The sequence below is a fragment of the Homo sapiens genome, chromosome 4 (assembly GCF_000001405.40).
Source record: "Homo sapiens chromosome 4, GRCh38.p14 Primary Assembly".
In the NCBI taxonomy this organism is placed as follows: domain Eukaryota; kingdom Metazoa; phylum Chordata; class Mammalia; order Primates; family Hominidae; genus Homo; species Homo sapiens.
The window spans coordinates 182,191,959-182,217,461 of record NC_000004.12 but is presented as its reverse complement, the minus strand read 5'-3'; the positions used below and the strand labels follow the sequence as shown (position 1 = coordinate 182,217,461).

Genomic DNA, 25,503 nt, shown 5'->3' with positions numbered 1-25,503 from the left:
TATTTTTCTTTAGAAACACTCAGAAACATGCCATATCCTATTTGATATAAACATCAGGCACTTTATTATCTTTGTTGCAGTAGTACTAGTCAGATAATCACTTTGCAGGTAAGTTATGAATAGAAACGATGGTGAAATTTAGGCCAGGTGCGGTGGCTCACGTCTGTAATCCCAGTACTTTGGGAAGCCGAGGTGGGTGGATCACCTGAGTTCAGGATTTTGAGACCAGCCTGGCCAACAGGACGAAACCCTGTCTCTACTAAAAATACAAAAATTAGCTGGACATGGTGGTGGGCACCTGTAATCCCAGCTGCTCGGGAGGCTGAGGCAGGAGAATGGCTTCAACCTGGGAGGCAGAGGTTGCAGTGAGCCGAGATCACACCACTGCACTCTAGCCTGGGACAGAGTGAGACTCTGTCTCAAAAAAAAAAAAAAAAAAAAAAAAAAAAAAAGAAAGAAAATGATGGTGAAATTTAGAAAAATACTTATACATTATGATATTTACACCAGAAGTGGTGTGAATCATAGCCAGTTGCATTCTGTAAACACCTTGGTTACAAAAATGATCAATGGAGTTCTTTAATAGAATGCAAGTCTGCCATTGTTTAGAAAACACCTGAATCGTTTTCAGGATTTGAAGTATGTCAGCATTGTCTGAACACAGTGGTCAAATGCTATCAAGTGAATGAGAAATCATCACTCAGTTCAACATTTATTGAACACCACAATGCTAGAATCTAGGAATTCAACTGTGAATAAGGAAGTTATGGTGTACTCTCTGTAAACTTCTCATAAATAATGTCTAAAATACAACAACATTCCTATTGATGTATATTGCTTGCTTCCAAAGACTATGACGCCTGTATCCTCACACGTACATCACCTTTATTTTTCCTATTCAGGTAGGCTTGGTGATGAAGATGGAGTAACGAAACTGACAGGTAAATGATATTGCACCAGATTATAACTGATATCAGGATGATTTCTGCTTTTCAGGAGTGGCCACAGGTACCAAAGGATGGCACATCATACCAGGAATTTGTTGATCTAGTGCAGTGGAACTGCAAGGCAGGTAGGCAAGACCATGTGGAAACTGAACGAGCCGAAATTAGGCTACATTACCTTGAAGCCAACTGTGCATTCATCTGGTCACACCTAGGTATCTTTCACACATGTGCAGTAATTTGAATCCATAAGAAAACCACCAGGAGATGTGACGTCAGGAATATTTCCATCTCTTTTGTGGATATAGTTTGACCTAGCTGGAAACCACACATTCTGAGGCCTGTGTGCTGGCAATCATTTCTGGCTGGTAAATACAAAGACAGACAGTTGGAGTGCCACTGGTGTCTAATGATTACGTGTGGATTATTCACTGGCCTTTGGAGAAATCAACCACGAAACAAATATTTTAAAGACAGGATTTTCAGCAGAGAATAAGAAATTCTCCATAAACTTTGAGACCACTTGCTGGGAGAGGGGGTAGTGTCGTTTTCTCCAGCTCTGGCTCTTCTCCCTTCATTCAAAATTAGGTTTTCATGTTGTAATGTTTTATCACTTCCAAAGGCGAGTTTTCATAGGGGAGTCCTGAAAACAGTTCAGCCCTAACCCTAGAAAGGTATCGAGACATCAGTGGAACTTGAAACCTGATTGCAAGTTAGAAGAGAAAAGAAATGAAATAATGTCCTGTGCAGTCAAAGGTTATTCTGTTGACATGTGCCAGGTGTGAGTAAAAAGACCCGTGTGTGAACAACAATATCCCCAGGAATTTAAGGAAAAGCCTGTTGCCACATTTGTACCTTAGGCCTTATAGAATCCATAGATTTCTGTGACCCCAACTGCTATCCCACCGTCTACAGATAATTGATTCCAATTTGCCACTCCATAACTGTTTCCGTAATGAAATGAACGTAAGAGGATTTTTTCAGTACATTTTGATTGGCTGTGGGAAGCTGGGCAGATTTGTTTTTTTAATTATGTAGTTGAAAACAGTACCCTTTTTAAAGCAAAACACCACCACATGATGAGCTCAACAAAACACCTCCATCTGACCTCTACTGCATGTTTTTTAAAAAACTCATCGAGTGAAGTGGTAATTTAGTCAGTGAAGATAGAGCTCGCCACAATTCAGCTCTAACTGCCTCATTCTGGAGGCGTCATCTTTTCTTTTTTTCATTAATAAAGATTGAATCAGTCACTTGCACAACACTTTTCCTTTAATGACATTTGTTCTAAGGAGTCAACCAGACTAACTGCTTGTCCTTGCCCACTATTAAAGCTCTTGAAAATACCATTTACAACCCTGCTGCCCCAGTGACAGTGCTGGCTTCTCAGCACTTCATTTGCACTCTAGCTCAGAACCATTTCTTCAAAAGTTTCTGATGTGTTCTTTTACTGTTGAGTTTCACGCCTGTAATCACGAGAAATGACTAGGGTCTTGCAGACACCTTTCTTATCTCTAACTGGAATTTCATTTGTGTGCCACGATTTTGTTAAAGGGTGTTAGAATAGAAAATTACTGTAGGTGATAAATTAGGAAAATCCACAATGCATTCTTACATACTGATAATGTCTCTGACCCTCATCTACTCTAACACTACAGAATACATTTAATTTATAAAAAAAAGAATGCTCCTTAGTCATAAGCATTATGATGTTAAGAATAGAACCACTGTCGCAATTTAAGTGCTTTATTTACATCATTTTTTTCCTAACTCTTATAAATTTGTTGATAAGGAGAAATCTGGAGAGAATTACCCAGACTTCATGAGGGGCGTTTTTAAAAATAAATATAATTGTCTGGTGCAGGGGCTCACATCTATAATCCCAGCACTTGGGGAGGCTGAGGGAGGAGGATCACTTGAGCCCAGGAGGTGAAGACCAGTCTGGGCAACACAGCAAGACCCCCGTCCCTAAAAATAAATAAATAAATAAATAAATAAATAAATACAATAAATAGAATGTAAGCTCCTAAAGGTAAAGATTAATTATGAAAATCCACAAACATAGTAGTAAATATTTCTGATCAAGAATGGAAAATAATAAGTCTTTATGTCTTAAGCTCTGATGTCCATTCAACTTTTCAAGATTTCCAAGGATATCACTGAACTATAGATCAGAAGTCAGGTCCAACAAAATCAGTCAGTTATGTTACAGTTAAATTTATTTCGCTTTCTTGAAGATCACAAGGTAAGCTACATATTTAAGAAACATAAGGGGTAGTGAAAACTAGGATGATGCTTTTTCTAACAAGTGATGTATTATGCTTCCTTGATACATCCAAATTTTCATGTAGATTTAAACCCTACTTACCTAAACTGCACATACTTCTTTCTCTCATTTAAGAAAAGCTGCATTTCTGGCTAGGCGCGGTGGTTCACACCTGTAATCCCAGCACTTGGGGAGGCCGCAGCGGGGGGATCACAAGGTCAAGAGATCGAGACCATCCTGGCTAACACAAGTGAAACCCCGTCTCTACTAAAACACAAAAAAATTAGCCAGGCGTGGTGGCGGGCGCCTGTAGTCCCAGCTACTCGGGAGGCTGAGGCAGGAGAATGGCGTGAACCCAGGAGGCAGAGCTTGCAGTGAGCCGAGATCGCGCCACTGCACTCCAGCCTGGGCGACAGAGGGAGACTCTGTCTCAAAAAAATAAAAACATGAAAAATAAATAAAAGCTGCATCTCTTATCTCTAGACAATAGCGAAAATATATAGGCTAATTTTTAAATTCTATTATCGTAGTGGGGTTTGTTTGTCGCTCAGAATTTCTGGCATGCAAATAGAGCTAAGAAGCAGTGTTTCCATGACTGAGATGACATTAAATATGTCTTCATATGGATCGTACTGTATCATTTAGTAGCTCTTCCTAATGAGACATTCACAAGCAGCTCTCAAAAGGCAATGAATCACCATTGCATTGAATTGAATCGAGATAATAATTAAGCACATTTGAAACAACCACATTTGTTATGAATTATGGAAAGGCTATCTTAATTTCTTTACACCTTTTGGGGTATGATGGTTTTATTCTGAGGCTAAAAATACTTGTAACCAAATCTTGAACAGTGTAATTATGAAAAAGGATGGCTAAATCACTATGCAACGTATTAGTGGGTGGCATGGTAATTCACATAATTTCTTTTCAATGTTGCTTTTTATCCCCTGTTTTTTCACTTACATATAACATTTGAACTGACTCATAGGTTACATGATATTTGAAATATGGTGCAACTACAAGACTAAATGCATTCTGCCTTATTCATTACTTGATAAGTTACAAGAAGTTCTTTAGAAGCTTAACAGAATATCCACTTATAATAGGACTGCCAGTTACTGGGAAGATCTGGTTTTCCTGAAGTAAGAAACAGTCATCCAACTAAACTTACAGACAAATGCTTTTAACTGCTAATCAATGTGTAAATCCTCCAGTGGAATGCTAGAGTGCTTAAAATCTGGAACATCAAGCAAAAATACAAGGGACGGTGGAATGGTCAGGGCATAGATGTTCATAATGTGGTCCCAACATCAGACTTAGTTTATTTTCTGAGTAAAGAAAAAAGAAATTGCCTCCTATTGTCTGCCTTGCGTTGTACCTCTTGGGCATTTTTAGTCACCCAAGACAATGACAGAGAACATCCATTTGGGACCAGTGATCTTTTGCACCACTCGTTCTATCTTTGGGAAGTCAAAATTGATTTTCTTCCACTTGTCACACTAAAATCTCAACTCTGTCCTTTCTGTTTCACTCTCAAAGAGTTCAGCGGTATCGGGATCAAAGGATTAGGAAGCCGCAGCTTTAAGGGAGGCAAGCAGCATGAGAAGACTTTGTGGAGGCAGCTCTGAGCATTTTATGTAAGCAATCTATTTCAGCTTCAAAGGAAGCACTGGCTAAGTGGGTGAACAACATGTAAAGTGCTCACTTGACATAAATTTTTTTTTTTTTAAGTAGCTGAGATAAAGACAGCCTCCAATCACTGACCTTTTATTATTAGTCAGAGCCCTGAGTACAAGAGAGACTTCAGCAGAGGTGGCCAACGGGCGCCTGCAGAGACTCCAGGCGCGTTCTTGCCTGTTGGTGCAATATTTGCAGCTGCGGCACTCTCCTTCAAGTTGTTTGTTCCACTCTCTGCCTGATGCTATGGGTATCTGATTTCTATCTCTGGAAACAGCGTGGGAGCCATGTGGCGGTCAAGGCTGGACTTTAACTGCAAAGGAGCACATCACAGCAAGCTCCCAGGGAGCCGGGCACAGCTCAGTATCAGTCTTGGTTTCACTTGAAAAATGTACAGACCTTTTATAAATTATAGGAAAGAGATAATGGAATCCCTATGCATTTACTCTTCTCTTCATAAACCATGGCGAGAATTTTTTTAAAATTCCATGTATTCAGACTAGTTAAAAAATATGGATAGGCTTTTGCTAATTGTACATTTTACTTGGTTTAATAGATATATATATTAGAGTAGAGCTACCATTTGCTGTATGTCACACGTGCCAGGCTCTGGGCTACGTACTTTCCATGTAAAAACTCACTATTCCTAGTGAAAAACCTTTCGGTTAAGTGTTCTACCTCCTATTTACAGAAGAATAAATTGAGGCCCTGCAAGGATTAAGGAATCTGTACAAAGTCACACGGTAAGTAAAAGATCAATTTTCAAATAATTAAAGACAAAAACAATCAAATGTATTTAATATAAAATAAATATTTGGTAAATCAGAAAGCAGTTCCATAGTATATATTGCTTCTGCCTCATCATGATAAAGTTCCATGTTTTCAGCATAACGATCAGTTTTAGTCTGCTTTCTTGATGTAAGGATTCCAGCGCTTTTGAAAAATAAGCTGAATTGATAATGATTTTTTATAGGTGGTGATAGATTTGATTTCTGAACAGCCTACGAAGTCTTACGTGGTTAACATTGGGAGTGTATTTTCACATACACATCAAATTTCTTTTCAAATTCAGTCTCAGACTATAGCCTATGTTTTAGACACATTTCTGTACATAATTAAGCAATTTTCAAATAGAAAAGCGAGCCACCGCATAAATAGAAGACATACTATAGTGGTTAATATTGAATTATGGCATAATTAATCATAGAAACTCATCTGAATCTAATTTATTAGTGTTCCCCAAAAAACACCATCTTTGATTTCTACTAGAAAAAGAAAAGACAAAAGTATAAAAAACAATGCGTGTAATGCATTTATCCTTCTCGTGAACAAGAAAGAGCCACGTCTCTCGTGGGTTGAATGAGCTTTATGAATACTACCTTTACTCTTAAAAACAATCCTGGTTCTTTCCTCTTTCCAGGGAGAGAAGCTAACCTTAAGGGGAGTAATGCTGCTGTGCCTTGTCCCCCGTTTTGGTGACATCTCCTCTGGGGACGGGCTTAAAATTCAGGAGAGATGATGAGGGACAGCGACAAGGGTAGGGCCCCTGTTGGCCTCGGTTTGTCCAGTCCACACATCACTCCCTTAGGAGGGAAGACCACCTATAGGAAGGGGCTGGAAGGACACACAGCAGGTGATGGTGCTCCTATGGTCATGCAGAGCTAAACAAGTGACCTTCCTTGTAGGGTCATCTTCTGTGATACACACCGGTCTACGGAGAGAGGGTACCTAGACTGAGAGAAGAGCCTGGGGCTTAGGTGCGGAGTTGGGAGCAGGAAGAGTGGGGAAGACCTGCTTGGCAAAATAGAGTGCAGTTTGGAGATCAGCAGAAAAGAAGTGATTTAGGCCCTACTGCCAGTCAGGGCATCGGAAGCCTCAGTAGGTGCTGCAGCTTGATGAACATGGAGTTTTGAGAAGATTAATATGACAATGATACAAAAAAAAAAAAAAAAACTAGAGAGGGGGAAAATGGAGGCAGCGAGACAGTTCTAAAAAATCAGGCCCAAATTCCTGACGTCTTAGAAATCAGATGAACCCCAAGAGACATGATTATAATAATACAAAATATAATAAATACAAAATAATAAAAATAATTTGATTAAAATAATCAAACAAAATATTTGAAGGACTGAGATACTGGACAGAAAGTGAGAGAAGCATAATAAGTAAAGGCTTCCAGGCTTTGAGAGGAGAGAGTAACAGGAAGGCCACTGAGTAAAATGGGTTGGGGGGAAAAGAAGCCTATTTTGAACAAACTTTGGTTTTCAATGTTGAGGTGCTGAATTCAAGGAAAATGCTTGCAATCCAAGTGAAGTGAAATCTGTAGCATGTGAGACCAGTGTAAAGGAGACCTCTCTGAAGGGGAGAGGTCAGAGCTGATGGTGTCGGTGTGACCGTCCATCCGCCCGAGGGTGTGAGAGCAGGGGATCTAGAGAGAAAAGCAGGGTGTGGCATGTAGTGTTGCCAGCACTCATCATTTGGCAGGAGGGAGAGGGAAAGAGAAACCTAGATGAAACAGGATTCATGGCGGAGGATGCGGCACAGGGAGGCTGGGGAGGGCTGGAGGTTGTGGATGCTGTGGGGACCACAGCTGCGGAGACACCTCACACTCTATGACACAGCCTGGGTGTAGAGGAGTGGACTGAGACATGAATGAGTTAATTCTACCCCACCTCCCCCTGCAGATGACTTCACTCACCTAGGTCTCATCAACTGAGAGAGAGAGCCAGTCTTGGATCTCATTCTCTTGAGAATTGAATACCCATCAGTACCCCCACGGGCTGCTATGTTCGTGCACCTTCAGATTCCATCTACCTCTCAAAGCCCCAGACTCCTACCCCAGGCAAGGTCCTATTCAGCTACTGTACTCCCAAGCCCAGTTAATACCCCCATCAAATGGTAACAGACGCATTTACACAATTACTAACTGTGCCTGAAGAATTCTCCCAGGCCACCAGGTAATGTTTCTTCAAGAACTTTACTCGGCTATACCTTAAGACCTTAAGATATATCGGCAAAGAGGAGCTATTCTGGTGCGAAGGGGGCTCCTAGCAGTGTCAAAGGACAAGCAGAGGTTTAGGACAGCAAAGACTGGGTCTGCCAGCAGGAGTCTTGGCAGCCTTTGAGTGTAGCTTTGATCTAGTGGTGGGGACGGGAGCTCTACTGCATGAGCATGCACAGTGGGGCCACACGCACACAAGGTGCCTGGGAAGCACCTGCCTTGAGTGTGGGGGATGGGATGGGAGGTAGAGCATGGCAGTGTCAAAACAACGATTTTTTTTTTTTTTTTAAAGAGGGACAGCTGGGCTGGATGCGGTGGCTCACGCCTGTAATCCCAGCACTTTGGGAGGCCAAGGAGGGTAGATCACTTGAGGTCAGGAGTTCGAGACCAGCCTGACCAACGTGGTGAAACCCCGTTGCTACTAAAAATACAAAAATTGGCCGGGCATGGTGCCGCGCACCTGTAATCCCAGCTACCTGGGAGGCTGAGGCAGGAGAATGGCTTGAACGCAGAGGCGGAGGTTGCAGTGAGCTGAGACTGTGCCACCGCACTCCAGCCTGGGCGACAAGGGCGAAACTCCATCTCAAAAAAAAAAAAACAAAAAAAAAGAGGGACAGCTGAGCCCATGTGAATGTGAAGGCTGAATTGAAGGACGTCATGGAAAGTGACAGCTGGATTTCCAAAAGATAGGAAATATACTTTGACCACTAAACCAACGTTGCAACAGAGGCAAGCACAGGTTTGATCAGATGAGCCTGAGAACCTCTGGTGGAGTCTGGGCTCTGCAGGTCTAAGAGGCCACCGCAGTGACATGAAATCAGCTGCTCCCAAGAACACACTTTGAGCAAAGCCCCCTTCTAGGACATACTATGGTCCTGTGGGCCAAATCCAGCCTGCTGCCTACTTTTATATGGCCCTTGAGCTCAGAATGGTTTTTGATAAGAAATGCTACCTTTGAACTCTAATTAGGCAAAATGTCAACTCTCCCCCACAACAATCCATTCTTCTCATTAGTAGACCTGTATTACATTTAAAAAGTATACCCTTTCATTACTACTATATTAAAATTTTGTCAGTAAAATGTGTGGAAATGTGTGGAATACTTTCACACTATTCTTAATTTGTACTCCTGGCCTGCAAAGCCTAAAATACTATCTGTCCCTTTACGGAAATTGTTTGCTGACTCCTGCCCTAGAGTCTTCATGAGAAGTAATTGTTGCTCTTGAGATGAGAGAAACACAGGCAGATTCCCAGAAAGTGAATCATGAGCATATTCATAGAAACTGACGTGTTAAGGTACATTCAGATCTGGCATCTGACTTCTTAATGGGGTGATTACCCAGTGCTTTTTATTATTTTGAAAAGTCAAGTTCTTTTACTTCTCACAAATACTTAACATCATAAAGCATTTATAAAGTACAAAGTCTCCTGCTAGAAAAAGGCATGTTGGACATTAACTCTGTGCTTAAGCAGCTTGCATTATTAAAAAATATCTACAACAGAAAGGGAAAGGCCAACTCTCTTTTGCAACACTTACATTTTTAAGGCTTATGAAACTGACAAAACTTCTGAGGAAACACACGACTTCAAGGACATTCTCTTGTAAATTACAGCAACAGCAGCAGCAGCATTTTTAACCAGATGACCATTTGAGATAACTTAAACTGCTGGAAAGGTATTTTAAGCACAGCTGTGATGCCAAAAGAAGGTACCAAAGGCAGAGCTTTGGTAGAACACAATACATTACAAAAGATGAAAGTCTAAAGTGATGACAATAATAAATTCCTGTTTTCCAGAAAATCGGCATTTTTAGGAGTTCTAAAGTTAATGCACTTAAAATACTTTTGATCATATTTTTCCCAAGCTTTTACATATTAAGAAATTTTCAGACACCCAAAATTTGCTTTATAAGTAGTTCTTAGAAAGACTAAAGGAGCTGTATAGTTATTTTAAAATCCACCCTAAGTGATGTGTAAGTTACTTAGCTGGCAGCTTCAATTTGTAATATGCACTCCCCAAAAAAGCAGGGGGAGCATCAGCTATAATTTTAATAACAGCTCTGCCCCGCCACATATCTTTTTGCATGGGCTGGGAAGCATGCTCACCCTGTGCTAAGAGCTTAAGCTTTGGAGTCCTGTTTAGATAAAGCACTTACATTTAAAAATGAAGTAAATAACTTAATGTGTAAGTAGAAAAAGCTCCCAGCTTAGTTATAAAATATGACATACCAAGTGAACCTAGAGCTGCCTAAATAAGTGTTTTACATTTTCCAGCAGGCTGAACTATGAAAAGCAACTAGAGGACATTCTCCCCCTTGAAGATAATCACTTTTATTGTTGCCGGGTCAAAGATTCAGATTCCACGCAGCAACCTCTGACTAAAGAACAGCAAGTCCTTTCAGGTCAGAAAGTCCAATATGCAGCCCCCTCAGAAGCATAGCATAATAGTCCTAAAATAACAAGCATACATGTAGCTTTCTTAATTTGCCCTGCTGGGTTCCTGTAATAAGTACTTAACAACTGTAGGCTCTGAGCAGCTCAGCAGACATCAACAAGACCATTTGCCAGATGATTTAGCAAACAAATTTCCGAGCATCTCATGCTTATGTTGAGTGCGTGACATTAGCAAACATGCAGGGACTTAGAGATAATAATAGTAGATAGGAATTTTACAAATTAAAAAGAGAGAGAAAGAAAGAACGGGAATTTTGAAGTCTAGAGAATTTAGGCTGATATGCCAAATTCTCTGGCTAGAATGAAGTCCCCCAGATGAATACTCAGTAACTTCTGCTAATTTTTTACTCCTTGAGCAAATAATCTGAAATTGAGTTATTGGGAAGGGACAAAAACTCTGGAATGACTTCCAGGGGAGGAAGAAAAGAATAGAAACCACCTTATTTTTTAGCACAAGTAACTGACATGAAGCAAGCACAAAACACGAAAGGTTCTCAGTAAATATTTATTGAATGAATGACTCCATGTCTATGACACGCATGAGGAATTGACATCTCCATAAAGAAAGCTAGCAGATTCTCAACAAATCATAGGGGTTAGGTAAGCGGGTAGGGCGAAGGCATTCATCAAGGAATCCCTCTCCAGTGTCAGGAATCCAAGGCTCAGAGAGGGAGACATTCTCGTGAATCCATCAGCAGCCCCCTGGCCCATAACAGACTCCTTGAGATGCTTCTAAGTGAGAGGGAATCCAGGTGGCAATGGCACTTACCATTTTAAGAGCTGGAGCAATCCTGAGGCTCTGTGGGGAAAGCAATCATCCCCAAAACAGGAAAACAAATCTGACAATAGAGCAGGGCTGGTCCTCAATAGCCTGGGCATGAGGAGCCAGGAAACCTGCTCTGAGGAGGGAGGTAATTATCCCATCACTTCAGGTCACAGGGAAATTCTATTCTGTTTTCCGAGGCAACATTTTTAACACTTACACAGACATTTTAAATGTGAACAACTCAAGCAATCATCCTATTATATCTGTTAGTTTAGCTGATTTCTTTCTTTTTTTTTTTTAATTTTACAGATTTCTTCTTTCGGTGGATCGTGTAAATTAGTGAGTTGCTTTCACGTCTTTTGGCCAGCTTCAGAGAAGAATGAAGTACCCAATGCTTGGTGAGAGGCAGTCCATGTTCCGGATGTAAAGCACTTCTCACTATATTAATTGTCCGCTGGCTTAATTTTTTCATATTCTGTCGAATGCACTTTGCCTGCGTGTACGAAGGCAGCTTCCTCATCAGATGTGAGTTGGGAGCATCCACATGTACTCCACTGATGCTCCCCAAACTTCCAAGATAAAAATTTCCACAAGGGGAAGATAGCAGTCAAATGTGAGAAGAATAATTTGCAAATAGATAAATACGCAAATAAATAAAACTGTTCATGGAGTTGTCTACTGGAAAACGATGTGCCAAGGGCACAATGAGCGAAAGTGAAGCTTGACAATGAGTTAGGTCGCCAGATGTGGCGCGGTGATTTGGGGGGGCCCAGGGGAGCACCCATGAGGAGAAAGGCTGGGTGTAAATCAGTCATAGCAACGCTCCACTGCACCTGGGGGGCCCTGAGGAAATACGTTAGTGGTGAATCAAGAGCCAGGCTCCAAGGCCCTGAGGCCAGTGTGCTGGGAGAGGGGCGTGTCAGAGGCACATGGGAGAGGTGGGCCTGAAGACAGAGAGAAGCTCTAAGTCAAGCAAAGACCCAGGTTTCTAGAAGTGGTCATGCAAATAGCTGAGGTTCGCAGATTCTATTATTTAATAATTAAATGTAAAGAAGCATTTAGCTTACGTCAACTATTTTAGTTAGGAGAGCAATAGTCACAAAGCAGCAGTTGTGAAATTTATATGGATTGGAAAAGGGTGTGATAGACACGGGGTGGAAGAGTTTCCATTTGTTTTGTTTTAAGCCACGGTCAATGTGGGCTTTCAAAGTCAGATGCCGAAGGAGGAATTAAATTATCCAGTGAGTATTAGAGAGTTATTCTCAAACCGTATTTTACTGTAAGATGGGGTTATTTTAAATTCAGAAAAGCTAATGAGCATAAAGAAGACTGCAAATCTTCTGGGACCATGTGTCAGCTGATCCACAGCTGCTGCAACCGAAAAGTCACAAAGCTTGCTGGGAAATGGAGAACAATGCAGACTCAGTTGTCATGAATATCTTATGTGAAGTTACTTTTTAGAGAAATCTCCAAATGCAATCTCTATAGGCAAACATATACATTTGTATATAGAAAGAGTAAAGCTGTAATCTTCATTGAACACAGAGATTTGTTTCTTTTGGGTTTTTTTAAATTTGCATTTCATTGTTTTTCATGAAAATGAATTTAATGCTTGAATTCTGTACAAGCATCACAGGAAAAGGCTATCAGGAATCTGCAAGAGCCATACAAGGTGTCCCTTAGATAAATAATGGTCAGGAAAGGAAATGTGTGAATGAAAAGACCACGATGTGCTGACTACGTTGAGGCACTGAGCAGAACAGACAGTGGGAGGCAACGACTGAGACAACCTGAGTTGAAAAATAGTGTCTGGAAGACGCAGGGGTGTATACAGTGTCTAATAAAATTCTGCAAAGAAGCTCAAAAGTGATCACGTATTTATTGCAAGGGTATTTTCAAAATAAACTCATTTTGAATTATTCACTCTTCCCCTCTCCCCACCAAAAAAACAACCTATTATGAATTAGTTTGGAGTAAACGTTTTCACAGGTTTTCAACTGGTTGTACCACACACTCTTAAAATAAAGGTATTACACATTCCAAAAACATTTCAACTCTTACATGAGCCTAAAGATAACACCGCTTCAGTCAGCATTATAAGCAACACCACCATTTGAAATCTGTATCAGAGCCCATTATCACCACACACTACATCCAGCAAAATCTGGATTCCTTACATTTCGTAATCATAATGAGCCTCAAAACCTCATCAGAATCTCTGACTCTTTTCTTTCTTTTGTCCCCCGCAGCCAACTCATTACTGAGCCCTGTTGATTTCCCCCTTCATTATCCAGCCCTCTATCCATTACTGTCGGCGCTCTGATGCTTCATTAGTGTCTACCCTTGATGGTGACAGCTTCTGAAACACCTCCCTTCTCGAATCCATGTTATATCTTGGATGAAATTAACTTCCTTGAAACATTTCTCCTTCTTTCTGTCATTCCCCTGCTCTAAAAGTTTTAATGATTCCACGAGGTCTTGTATGCTTCCACCATGTTTAGGAGGGAGGCCTGAGGCCATATGCCCAGGCAATGGTGATATTCAGCAGCAGATGTCCTTCCAGAAGGGTTGTGAGGCTGTGCCCACGATGAGGGGCCACCTGCCAAAGACACTCCAATGGAGCAAGAACTGTAGCAAATCCCTCCAGTGCAGCCACCAAAACTCTCCCTACTCTCCCTCTCAGGTTAGCGGGAGAGGCGTTGGGAAAGAGGGAGGATACAGGCCCAGCAAAGCGGGGGAAAGGGAGTTAGGAAGAGCAACCGCTGCTCCAACTCAAGTCTGTTGGCTTAAACTCTTGGCCCCAGAAACAGGAACTCAAGTCTCCCAACTGCCTTTGTCATTTATTGAAGACCTTAAGACAGCTCTCAGCGCTCCAAAAATCATGAGGCATTCTTTGCCCTCTGTTCTTTGAGAAATCAACTTCTACCACTTTGGGGACTGGGAACTGGCCAGGGGATGGTGAAGGAAGCTAACACTTAATCTTTCTCTCCAATGCCCTAAACTTTTACCACGCTACCTACCTGTGGCCCTGAAGTTGGGGGTGTGAGTTTATTTTATGTGATAGCTGGGTGGAGGAGAAGGAACCAAAAGATTCTATTTGAGCCCATTTTCTTTTCTTTTTCTTTTTTTTTTTTGAGATGGAGTTTCACCCTTGTTGCCCAGGCTGGAGTGCAATGGCACGATCTCGGCTCACTGCAACCTCCACCTCCCTGGTTCAAGTGATTCTCCTGCCTCAGCCTCCCGAATAGCTGGGATTACAGGCACCCACCACTACGCCTGGCTAATTTTTGGATTTTTTTGTAGAGACAGGGTTTCACCATGTTGGTCAGGCTGGTCTCGAACTCCTGACCTCAGGTGACCCACCCGCCCCGGCCTCCCAAAGTGCTGGGATTACAGGCTTGAGCCACCGCACCCGGCCTGAGCCCATTTTCATAATGACACATTGTCTCCCAGGGCTTGGGGATCGTGTAGGCTTTCCATCCACCCTCTTCCTCAAGCCCTCTTGATCTTTCACAATGTTGCCCTGCCCTTACAGGCACAGGTTCTCTGGATGAGCCGCCTGCACTTCCCCTCTGCCTGCCCAGCTGTGGATTAGGTTTAGTCATGGGCACTCTCTCTCTCTCTGCCACATTCTGTGTCTGGCCCTGCAAACCCAGCAGCAAGATCCCCTGTGCCTCACTCCGAGGCAGAGTCCCAGATTGTAAGCGAAGCAGTGGAATTGGACCTGGGATTAAAAAGTGCAGTTCAGGCCAGGCGTGGTGGCTCACAACTGTAATCCCAGCACTTTGGGAGGCCGAGGCAGGTGGATGACCTGAGGTCAGGAGTTCGAGACCAGCCTGACCAACATGGAGAAACCCCGTCTCTATTAAAAATATAAAAGTAGCTGGGTGTGGTGGTGCATGCCTGCAATCCCAGCTGCTTGGGAGGCTGAGGCAGAAGAATCACTTGAACCCGGGAGGCAGAGGTTGTGGTGAGCCGAGATTGCACCACTGCACTCCAGCCTGGGCAACAACAGTGAAACTCCATCTCAAAAAAAAAAAAAAAAAAAAAAAGTGCAGTGCACACATCTTAGTTGTGCATTCAAAGTTCACCAGGAACTTCAGGAACTTCCAATCCGTTTTAGAATTTTAGTTCTCTCTTTCCCCACTCACAAGCCCACGTTCCAGTTAAACAGAGCTATAAAACTCTCAGGCTTTCCAGTCAACTGGAACAGGCTCCTGGTCTGATTTTGCTTTTAACCAATCCCATTGGCACAGGGACAGGCCCAGACGCTTGTTTCCTTTGTTGAATGAATGAATGTGCTTCACACATACCAAGGGTTTTTGTTTACATATTGGAAGTGGTTGTCCAATTTGTTACTATGATTACATAAAGAACTTTGGAGACTGTGTAGATAAAGCATGCTGGGGTGGTGTTTCTACCAAAATACCTGAAAATGCATAGTTATTTTTCTATTTCCTAAAAGACTCTTTAACATTTTCCAGAAATTTCAGTACTAGAATTAATAAGACAAGTATGCCTACCATTGACAAACCAAAATCCTTGTTTTGTTCTTCAGAGGCAGTGGGTTCTGAAGTATATCTGACTTCAAGAGCCCCATGATGAGACGAATGCTATGTGTATTTTGTTTCTAACCTAAGGGGGGCTTCCAGTAGCTCTGCTTGCCTTTCCAGACCCCCCACCCTGCCATGGGAATAACTTCAGACCCCCTTCCGCTGCTCCTGCTGGCCAGCCGCTGCCCCCACCCCTGGATCTTCTTGGATCCTTCCCTTAGCATCTGCTCGCAACTCCTGCCCCAAGGTCTGATTTTGAATGAGCATCTCTGGTTGACCTCACCCTCTCCCACCTGCACAGTCCTGGAATGTTTACCCTCCACTCACAGCTCACAGATCCTGTCCTGTCACACAGCATCAGTCAGGCCTATGTCTCGAAACTGTTCATCTTAATCGAAAATGTGTCTGTTTTACTAACTTAAACACTGAGATTGCTTAATTCAGCTCCACTGTTATCAGTGAATTGTTTGTTTCTCCTTAGAAATTGGAGATGATTTTGACTGTCCCCGACAAAAAAAGAAAAAAACATTAAAATGAATACAGATTTAAGAGGTTCCTTGAGTGAGACACCAAAAAGTCCCCAAATAACAGAGCTTGTGATTGACTTTTTCTAACGTACTATCTGGTTATTTAAAGTAGTGGTTGTCTCTTCTTTAATTAAAAAAGGAACTCTAGGCTGGGCGTGGTGGCTCACACCTATAATCCTAGAACTTTGGGAGGCCAAGGCAGGTGGATCACCTGAGGTCAGGAGTTCGAGACCAGCCTGACCAACATGGTGAAACCCCATCTCGACTAAAAATACAAAAATTAGCTGGGCGTGGTGGTGTATGCCTGTTATCCCAGCTATTCGGGAGGCTGAGACAGGAGAATCACTGGAACCCGGGAGGTGGAGGTTGCAGTGAGCCGAGATCGCGCCATTGCACTCAAGCCTGGGTGACAGAGTGAGACTCCATCTCAAAAAAAAAAAAAAAAGGCACTCTAGTTTCTAAAGTTATTCTTCCCCTTGGCTGGTTCTGTTTGTATGAACGGCTCATTTCATAGCAATTGACATCACCCTATGAATTCAGGATACTGAAAGGAACAGTTTGCATTTTTAATTGTTCTCTATCAGTCTGTCTATATGCTTCTAATCTTCCATGCCAGGAGCTAATTTTCTATAATCTGTGTTCTTTCTTATAGGCTAAGCACAGAGTACAAAAAAAGAGCATCCTTCTGTAGAGAATAACTTAGCCAAGGACACTGTGCTCCGTCTTTATGATGAAATACATATTTCCCATTAAAAGGCAAATCTGTCATTTTAAAAGGTTGAATTGGATGTACTTTAAAAATAATTCCAGCTGGTTAAATTGAGAGCACTGAAAAAAAGCTCAATAAGAATGTTCTCTTGGTCTGTGGTATTTTCATTTTCCTGAAGTGTGAATTGGATATATTTTCTTTTACCTTAAACCCTTTATTCTCAGTGTTTGATTCTGAGTCAGTGGAATAAGTTTTAAAGATGATTTGGGTTCAATAATACTATTTCTAACACCTAAGTTTTTATTTTGGCACCATTATTTCTAGTAAAAGAGAACTGGCCCATTTAGACTGATTCTTTTTCTATGATTATGCAAGAAACACGGATATTTTCCCATGTTGTTCCGCCCCCTATGTATCATTTCTAGACCTTTTAGAGCCTTCCTTTGAGACCACTGTCTGTTTAATATAAATTTTTCCATAAACTGAATGACTAATTATATCCTGATAAAACCCAAGCAATGTATACCTTAAAATATGCGGCTGGGCACAGTGGCTCATGCCTAATCCCAGCACTTTGGGAGACCCAGGCAGGCAGATCACTTGAACCTAGGAGTTAGAGTCCAGCCTGGGCAACATGGCGAAACCCTGTCTCTACAAAAAGTACAAATACTAGCCAGGTGTGGTGGCCTGAGCCTAAAGTTCCACTACTCGGGAGGCTGAGGTGGGAGAAATCATATGAGTCCAGGGAGGTCAAGGCTGCAGTGAGCTGTGATTGCGCCACTGCACTCCAGCCTAGGCGACAGAGCAAGATCCTGTCTCAAAAAAAAAAAAAAAAAAAAAAAGCAATGATGTTCCACAAAGCCATCTATGGTTACATGTATCTATAGTACCACGTCAAGTGATTTAAAACTTGCACCTGGATTTTCACACCTGTAGAAAACCTGAATGCTGAGCTATTATTTTTTTCTAACAACACAAGCAGAGATACAAAAACACACTTTTTCATGGGTCGATTTTCAACTCTTTAAAATTGTATCTGGGCGAGTTTAATCTTCCTCGCTAACCACCAATGATTTTTGCTCCTAAGATACTGAATAATGAAATGGGCAATAGGCAATGTTTCTTCTTTTTTTTGTTTTTTGAGATGGAGTCTGGCCCTGTTGCCCAGGCTGGAGTGCAGTGGTGCGATCTTGGCTCACTGCAACCTCCGCATCCTGGGTTCAGGCCATTCTCCTGCCTCAGCCTCCTGAGTAGCTGGGATAGTAGAGACGGGGTTTCACCATGTTGGCCAGGCTGGTCTTGAGCTCCTGACCTCAAGTGATCTGCCTGTCTTGGCCTCCCAAAGTTCTGGGGTTATAGGAGTGAGCCACCGTGCCCGGCCTGAAATGTGCAATGATTCTTCAGGTATAGTACTGATCAGTCAACACCATTCAGTCCCCACACCGGTACTTCCTAGGCTTATGGCAGCATTTCTACCAGCTAGCTTTCTCAACTGTGTCCCAACACTATCTAAACTATACTGAAATTTGTTGTTCAAAGTTTACTAACATACACTTTCATCTGGTTTGCAAAATGAGGCAGAAGTAGGCAAGGGCCTACTTCTTCTTTCATGTGTTAAGAACTTTTTTCAGTTATAATTTGACTTTGTCTTCTTCTATGGGAAGGCCTCCCAATCCTCTTTTCCATCTAGCTCCTTCCTCATTTCCACTTGTGTCTTTACAAAATGTCTCAGACCATGGTTTTACACCTGTCTCAAATGATATTTGTCATTCCTTTGCTTCCCTCTGCTCTGTCCTTCATCATCGGGTCTTCAGTCTCTCTGCAGCCCAGGCCTGAGCCAGGAGCTGAAAACAGTCCGCATCCACTCCGCACTACCTGACACCTGCTCGTCAGGAAATGGTCGCCTGCACCTATTTCCATTGCCGCTGACTTTTCCTGTCAGCTTCATTCCAACTGCTCCACATCCCAGGGCCATTTGTAATTTAGGTGTTATGATATTTGTCCTTCCTCTTCTCACCAAAGTAGCGGGCTATCCGCAGCAAGCTGCACAGTTCACCCCAATACCTGGAAGGGTTGGCTGAATCCCAAAGCCAATCCTGATGTGAGTGTCGCTCTGACAACCGACTGAGGCACACCTCTTTCTCACCGCCTTGAGTTCACAAAGTGCTGCACCTTATTCCCAATCAATCAAAAGGTCCCTGCCCTCAGTAAAAGTAATCTGATTACTTGATTAAAGTAATACAACCTAAGGTGTAAATGGCTGATAAACGAAGCCATCTCTACAGGAATTCCCTTTGGAAGGAGAGTTTATTCGTGCAAATGAACCTCTAATCTGCAGAATGTGTAGGGAAGATATTGTTGCCCAGAGTAAACGGCCCAGGGTCAGAAGCCTATTCTAGGCCTTCCCACCAATTCTTTTATTTTTTTAAATTTTATTTATTTTTTATTTATTTTTTTTGAGATGGAGTCTCACTCTGTCGCCCAGGCTGGAGTACAGTGGTGTGATCTTGGCTCACTGCAAGCTCCGCCTCCCAGGTTCAAGCGATTCTCCTGTGTCAGCCTCCTGAGTAGCTGGGATTACAAGCACGTGCCACCACATCCAGCTAAGTTATGTATTTTTAGTAGAGACGCAGGTTCACCATGTTGGCGAGCCTGGTCTCAAACTCCTGACCTCAGGTGATCCGACCGCCTCGGCCTCCCGAAGTGCTGGGATTACAGGCGTGAGCCACTGAGCCCTTCCCACCAGATCTTTATCTCTTTGCTGAGTGGGAGAACAGGGTTGACAAACCAGCACCGCATTTCTGAGAAGCTGTGAAACTTTACTGAAAGGGCACTCCAGATTATATGCAACTAGGTAGCTGCTCTAAATCTGACAAAACTAAAGTTATTGTCACTATTTAAACCATTTATATGCAAAAGACACTTTGCTCTTACCACAGTACCTATTTAGGGCCCTTTACACATTTTTTTTCTTTTTGTATTGTTGAGCTGCAACTTATTATTTCCCTATGCAATACCACGGTGGGATAATTATTTTTTGAGTATTTATTAAGTAATTAAAGCAGTGGTTTGGAAACTTTTTTTATCCTCTGAATAATATCCTCTGATGGTGAAATGAACTCCTAGAGAGGAAAAAAAACCCCTGAACTTCTTTTGTTAAATTGGGAGTGGAGCCCCCAAACACAACTGGCTATTCCCTATCTCACATCCCTCCATGGCTAGGCAGGGTTATCGTGGCATAGTTTTCAACCTACTGCTATAGAAGATACTAAATAGCAAGGGTATTAACCCCAAGCTTTGAGTGTAGATGCAAACAATTCACTTAGGAAAATCAGGCTAACCAATGTTAAACACTGAACGCCCGCTGCAGTGTAACTGGTTAAAAAGCTTGTAGACAACAAAAATAATAGAAACACAGCTTATTATTTGTATAGGAAATAGATTAACAAATAATGTCATCAGTAGAACCAGAGAACTTTTAGAAGGAGTTTAAATTGTGAAACTGTAACATGCTGACATGAAATGCAACAGCAACTCCGAGGATGGGAAACGTGAACAATGGCAGAGAAGGAGAAAGACAACTTCAAGGAGTCAGGTCCTGAGCTCCTTGGCATCCGAGAAGATGACCGGAAATGATGCATCACATTTGAGGACGAGAGAAAGGAAACAAGAAGGACCAGTGCAGGAATTCTAGTCAAAAGAAGCCATGCTCTTTAGGTTTTGGGTTTTGGTACGGAGATGTGAAACTGACAAGGTATGACTGTTTTAAAAACATCAGGGTATGTTCCTTTCAAATGTGTAGAAAATGTTACAAAGAAGAAAAAGAAAAACTTTAATGATCACAACTTTTCTTAAAGTCACAGTATAAGGTTAAAGGAGCTTCTAGAATCTTCAGCAGAACCAGGGCACAGGTCCTCTCCACAATCAGCCCTAGTTACATTACTACACCCGAGGGCTTAAGCTCAAATGAGACTTTCCAGCCAGAGAGGGCAATGACGGTGAAAACAAGATGGGGAAGGTGAGGCGCCTGGTGTCCAGGGCCAGGCTTACCTCCTGCCACCCAGAACTTGCTTGCCTTGACCCTTGAGAAGAGGCTTACCCTTCCTACTTGGCTCACTTCCTGCCTCTCAGATGAGGCGTGGCTATGGTGAATTACCAACCTTCTGAATTGGTAATCCCACACTGACTTTCTGGATGCTACACTTCCAATCTGTCCGGAATCTAGACACGCTACACATCTTCCTGAACCATCTGAATGTTACATCTAGGAAACAGATGATCCTTAGCAACTCGGTCCAAAAAGCATGTCCACTGGTTTGGATCTTCAAGCGGAAGAGACTCCGGGGAAATGGTAGGCAGGTGTGCTGTCTACCACAGCCCAGGTACATTCACTCCGCACGGGGGATGGCGTGGGGATGAAAACACTCTTTTCTCCTGGTGTCCTGCAGGGAGAATGCTTAGGAGACTCCAAGCAGTGAGACACTAGGGAAAAACAGCCCAAAGAGGACTGTTAGCTCCTTTCTGAAGCTCAATCCAAGATAAGTTCTCTTTCTAGGGCAGTTAATCTTGGCCCTGAAAAGAAGTTGCCAGAAGGGTTATTGATTTCAAACCTACAAGCTGCTTGCAGGAGTTGAGGTCTAGCCAGAGCCTCGGATAGATTTTCAAGGTTAGAGAATTTTTTTTTCTGAGAATATAATGGAGGCCATGATTTCCTTCATAAATAGTAATAATTAGTGTTTGAAGTTAAGTGAGTTAATGTTTATAACGAGTACAAATCTTTTATTTTTTGGCATTTGAATTTCTTTTTAAATGTCTTTACATGGCATATTGACAAATTAATTTAGGGTTATGACTAGTAATTAATACTGAGTGTAGCGAAGTTGTATTTATACTATTATTTCAAGGTTTTTTTATATTTTTTAAGAGACAGAGTCTTGCTCTGTCACCCACACTGGAGTGCAGTGGTGTGACCACAGCCCACTGCAGCCTTGACCTCCCCAGCTCAAAGGATCGTCCCACCTCAGGCTCCAGAGCAGCTGGGACCACAGGCGTGCACCACCATGCTCAGCTAATTTTTTCTATTTTTTGTAGAGGCGAGCTCTTGCTATGTTGCCTAGGCTGGGCTTGAACTCCTGAGCTCAAGAGATCCTCCCACTTTGGCCTCCCAAAGTGCTCGGATTACAGGCCCAGCCTCAAGATATTTTTTAAAGTCATGCTTTAAGGTGGCATTCCACGTTAAAATATTCTCCCTCATTCACTTCAAGACAGGTTGATCAGCCATCAAGGCCTGCCCTAGACATACAGGGTCGTGTGGATAACAGGCACGTTTTGGGGGCTTCCTTTGCAAATCAAATCTCTCTAAGAGATGGCAAACACCAAAAAAAGGGATCCATTATAGGTTGCTCATGTTATATGCCCTCACAAAAGTGACAACATTTCTCCTACATGGCTTGCTTGAATAGAACTATTATAAAGAAGTCCTCTGAATATATAAGTGTGTGTGTGTGTGTGTGTGTGTGTGTGTGTGTGTGTGTGTGTGATAGAGACTGTGTTGGTCACTTATTTCATAAGCCTTGCAGTGATAATTACAGTCTGAAGTGACCCTACTATGTCTGAATACTTCCATGGTAAAAAATAAATTCTATCACGACAAAAACTTTTGGAAAAAAACATGCATAGCCAGTCTAACCTTTAAAGGTCGCTGAGGAGCTGCAATCTTTATTTGAATTCATTATGAAATCAATAAAACCTCTGGTTAAGATTCATGTAATTATAAATAACACGGAAGACCGTGAGGAGAAAAAAATGTTTGTCATAAATCTTTCATAACTTCTCAAACTTCACTTGTCTCCCATCACAGGGTTACATTTTCCACACCCAAGGAAGACTATTGTACCATTGCAGAGTATTTAGTCTGGCTGGCTGGCATGCTGCCTAAGCTTTTATGAGTTAAAAAAAGATCACATAATCTGTCTTTTGATATTTTGGTTCATGTTTTTCAGCAGGCTTGTATCTTAGCCAAGGAGTGCATATTGAGGCGAAATCCTCATCTTAAGAAGCGTCGTGGAAGAAGCTATAGGTAAACTAAAAGCGTGCTGGTGAAAAGATGTTTTTCTCTTTCTCAAAAGATACATCAATTCCTAGTTTCAGAATATATTCCGGTAACCCTGCGAATTCCATTAGTGTAAATACCGAAGGTTTGGCAACACGCGTGCATCAGTACACATCAGCATGAATGCCACAGTGATTTTCAGCGGTACTCAGCTTCGTCCCAATCAGAAGGCTCACTTAACAATTCTGCTCAGAAACAACGAGGACAAAAAGCAGCTCGGATCAAGGATACCATTTGATTTGCCTGCACTAATAAGTGCCATAAATTATTTAAGGAACTTCAAAGTCTTGAAACTGGTGAAGTACACCAGGGCAAAAGTAGAATTTGTTTGTTTATTATCAATTATTTACACAATATGTTTTACAACATCAGATGTGTAGAAAAGGCATAATCCTGAGCAATGGTGCACAATAAAAAATAGATTATGTTAATTCTGGTGAAAGCTTTTTAACGTAGGCCATGAAGTTGTGGACGCCATTTGATGCAGTATTTATAAACGTTTCAATAACAATCTCAATAATACTGAACTCTGAAAACCATTCTGAAATACATTTCTATTTATGATACCTGGGTGAGTGCACACATAATTTCTTTTTTAAAAAATTTCAACTTTTACCATTTCTTATGTAACTATAATAAAAGCATTTCAAATCTATGCTAAAATGGTGACTCCAAAATAAAACATGATTCTTGCTCAACTAATAACATCTTTGTAACACAGGGTCACACAAAACAGATGAATCAAATCCACATCTACCCAAATAGGTCAGCCAAAAAATAAACATGTCAATCTTTTTAATCAAGCCAGCACTTCAAATCTAATGTAGTAATTATAGATGAAAATGCTGCTCAGATGAAGAGCTATACCCCTGGGACGCATGGAATGTACGCCAGGACGCTATTGTTTTTTAATGTGCCTCCGGTCAAATGTGGTAAACTTCACACTTTTAACCAGTGCTGTTTGTAATAGATTGAATGAAACAGGTCTACAAAAGAACCAATAAATGTAAAGACTGGAAAGAATTAGAGAGGCTCGCAGTCTTGTACCTATTGTCCGGGGGAATTAGATGTCAGTTTGAGTATTATAACTCTGACAAAGGTTTCCGAGCTTTAATTTACTAGAACATATAACGGGCAAAGGAGAGGCTGGGAAACACAGTCAGTCTGAATACATTATTTAACAAACAATTTAATGAATGTTACACACATTTTTATACTCGTGACATATTCTCCCCATTCATTTTTCAGAACCTTGTTTATCAATGAAACATACTTTTCTACAACAGCATCCTCCTAGGTTCCTCAAATTCCAAACCTGTGATGGTGTATACTTCATGCCAAATAATACACTCATGGGAATACACAATGCTTACCTTAACTTCATGATGAAAGAAATACTGGAAAGCTTATTGCTAGGTTCAGCAGGCACACAAAACACCATCATGATAGGAAGATTAGGTGAGTAATTGCTGGTTCAGCACATATGCCTACACAGAACAAGATTTCACAGGAATTCTCATCCAGTCTTTATTTTTCTAGCCACAGACAGAAGTTTAGGAAAGCTTTGTGGCTGGCATGCAGAAGAAAGATCCAGTGCCTTTTTATTTATTTACTTATTTTTTACCAAATCCATGGACTTAACTGTGCTTAACTCACAAAGCAGTTGTTCAACCCCTACATACACACCAGATGCAATTTAGATTGGTTGCATCCCCCACACTTATCTTGGGAAAGGAGAAAACATTCCATTAATCAAAACTAATGCATAAACACCCTAGGGAATAAATGGAAACCACACTGCAAAGTGAGAATTAGTATTTTCTGTAAAACATGAAAGAATGACATACCAGAAAGCTAGCCAAACTATCCCAAGAATAATCAACATGTTGTAAGCCAAAAAGTATTTGATTCTCTGTTGACGTTCACTGTATGCCAGTTAATGAAAGGCACAAATTTCAGTAGTCCTGCCTGATCTTCCACAGTGGTCAAACCTGACTTCCAGCGAATACATCAAAAACCAGTCAATAAACAAATACTGAAAAGTGCCAGAGAGCCATAAATTTGAAAGGGCAATGGGAGATACAAAGATAGTCCTTCCTTGTCTTCAAAGAGTTTACAATCTAAGAAAATAAGTTTTAAGTACTCTACAACATGGTTGAAAGACTTTATGTAAAGAGCCAGATAGTAACTACGCTTTGTGGACCCTCGGTAGAAACTATTAAACTCTGCTACGTATGTATGTTGTCGTGTCTCTGGCATGAAAGCAGCCACAGACAAGATGTAAAAAAAATGGGTGCAACGGTGTTCCAATCAGACTCTTTGTGGATGCCAATTTGAATTTCATATAATTTTCCCGTATCATGAAATATTATTCTCGGAGCTTCTTCCCCTCTATTTAAAAGTGTAAAAATCATTCTTAGCATGCAGGCCATACAAAAAAAATAGGTGGCAGGGCTGATTTGACCTGGGGACCATACTTTGCTGCATCTTGC

The 25,503-nt window shown here is 41.6% G+C and overlaps 1 protein-coding gene and 1 long non-coding RNA gene across 23 annotated transcripts in view, besides 2 other annotated features; one reads left to right on the top strand and one right to left on the bottom strand.

The window, feature by feature from the left end:
* Positions 1-25,503, bottom strand: part of TENM3 (teneurin transmembrane protein 3) — a 1,355,412-nt gene that overhangs the window by 585,563 nt on the left and 744,346 nt on the right. The gene's annotated exons all lie outside the window — the stretch shown is intronic.
* On the top strand, positions 814-12,976 carry LOC105377572 (uncharacterized). Of its 2 annotated transcripts, XR_007058401.1 has the most exons (6): positions 814-902; positions 997-1,072; positions 4,753-4,850; positions 5,582-5,633; positions 10,165-10,292; positions 11,420-11,498. It is a non-coding gene; the product is annotated as an uncharacterized LOC105377572 (long non-coding RNA). The 2 variants fall into 2 exon arrangements; XR_007058400.1 differs by having other exon boundaries at positions 4,753-12,976.
* Positions 8,245-8,746: an enhancer, noted in NCBI's record as "H3K4me1 hESC enhancer chr4:183129869-183130370 (GRCh37/hg19 assembly coordinates)". NCBI's record gives its function as "activates a minimal SCP1, AML or CMV promoter by ChIP-STARR-seq in naive H9 embryonic stem cells {active_cell/tissue: H9 hESC(naive)}" and the evidence as "EXISTENCE:reporter gene assay evidence [ECO:0000049][PMID:30033119]".
* Positions 9,821-10,020: a silencer, noted in NCBI's record as "fragment chr4:183128595-183128794 (GRCh37/hg19 assembly coordinates)". NCBI's record gives its function as "represses an EF-1alpha promoter that drives an FKBP-Casp9 reporter gene in an ReSE screen in phorbol 12-myristate 13-acetate-treated (for megakaryocytic differentiation) K562 erythroleukemia cells {active_cell/tissue: K562(+PMA)}" and the evidence as "EXISTENCE:reporter gene assay evidence [ECO:0000049][PMID:32094911]".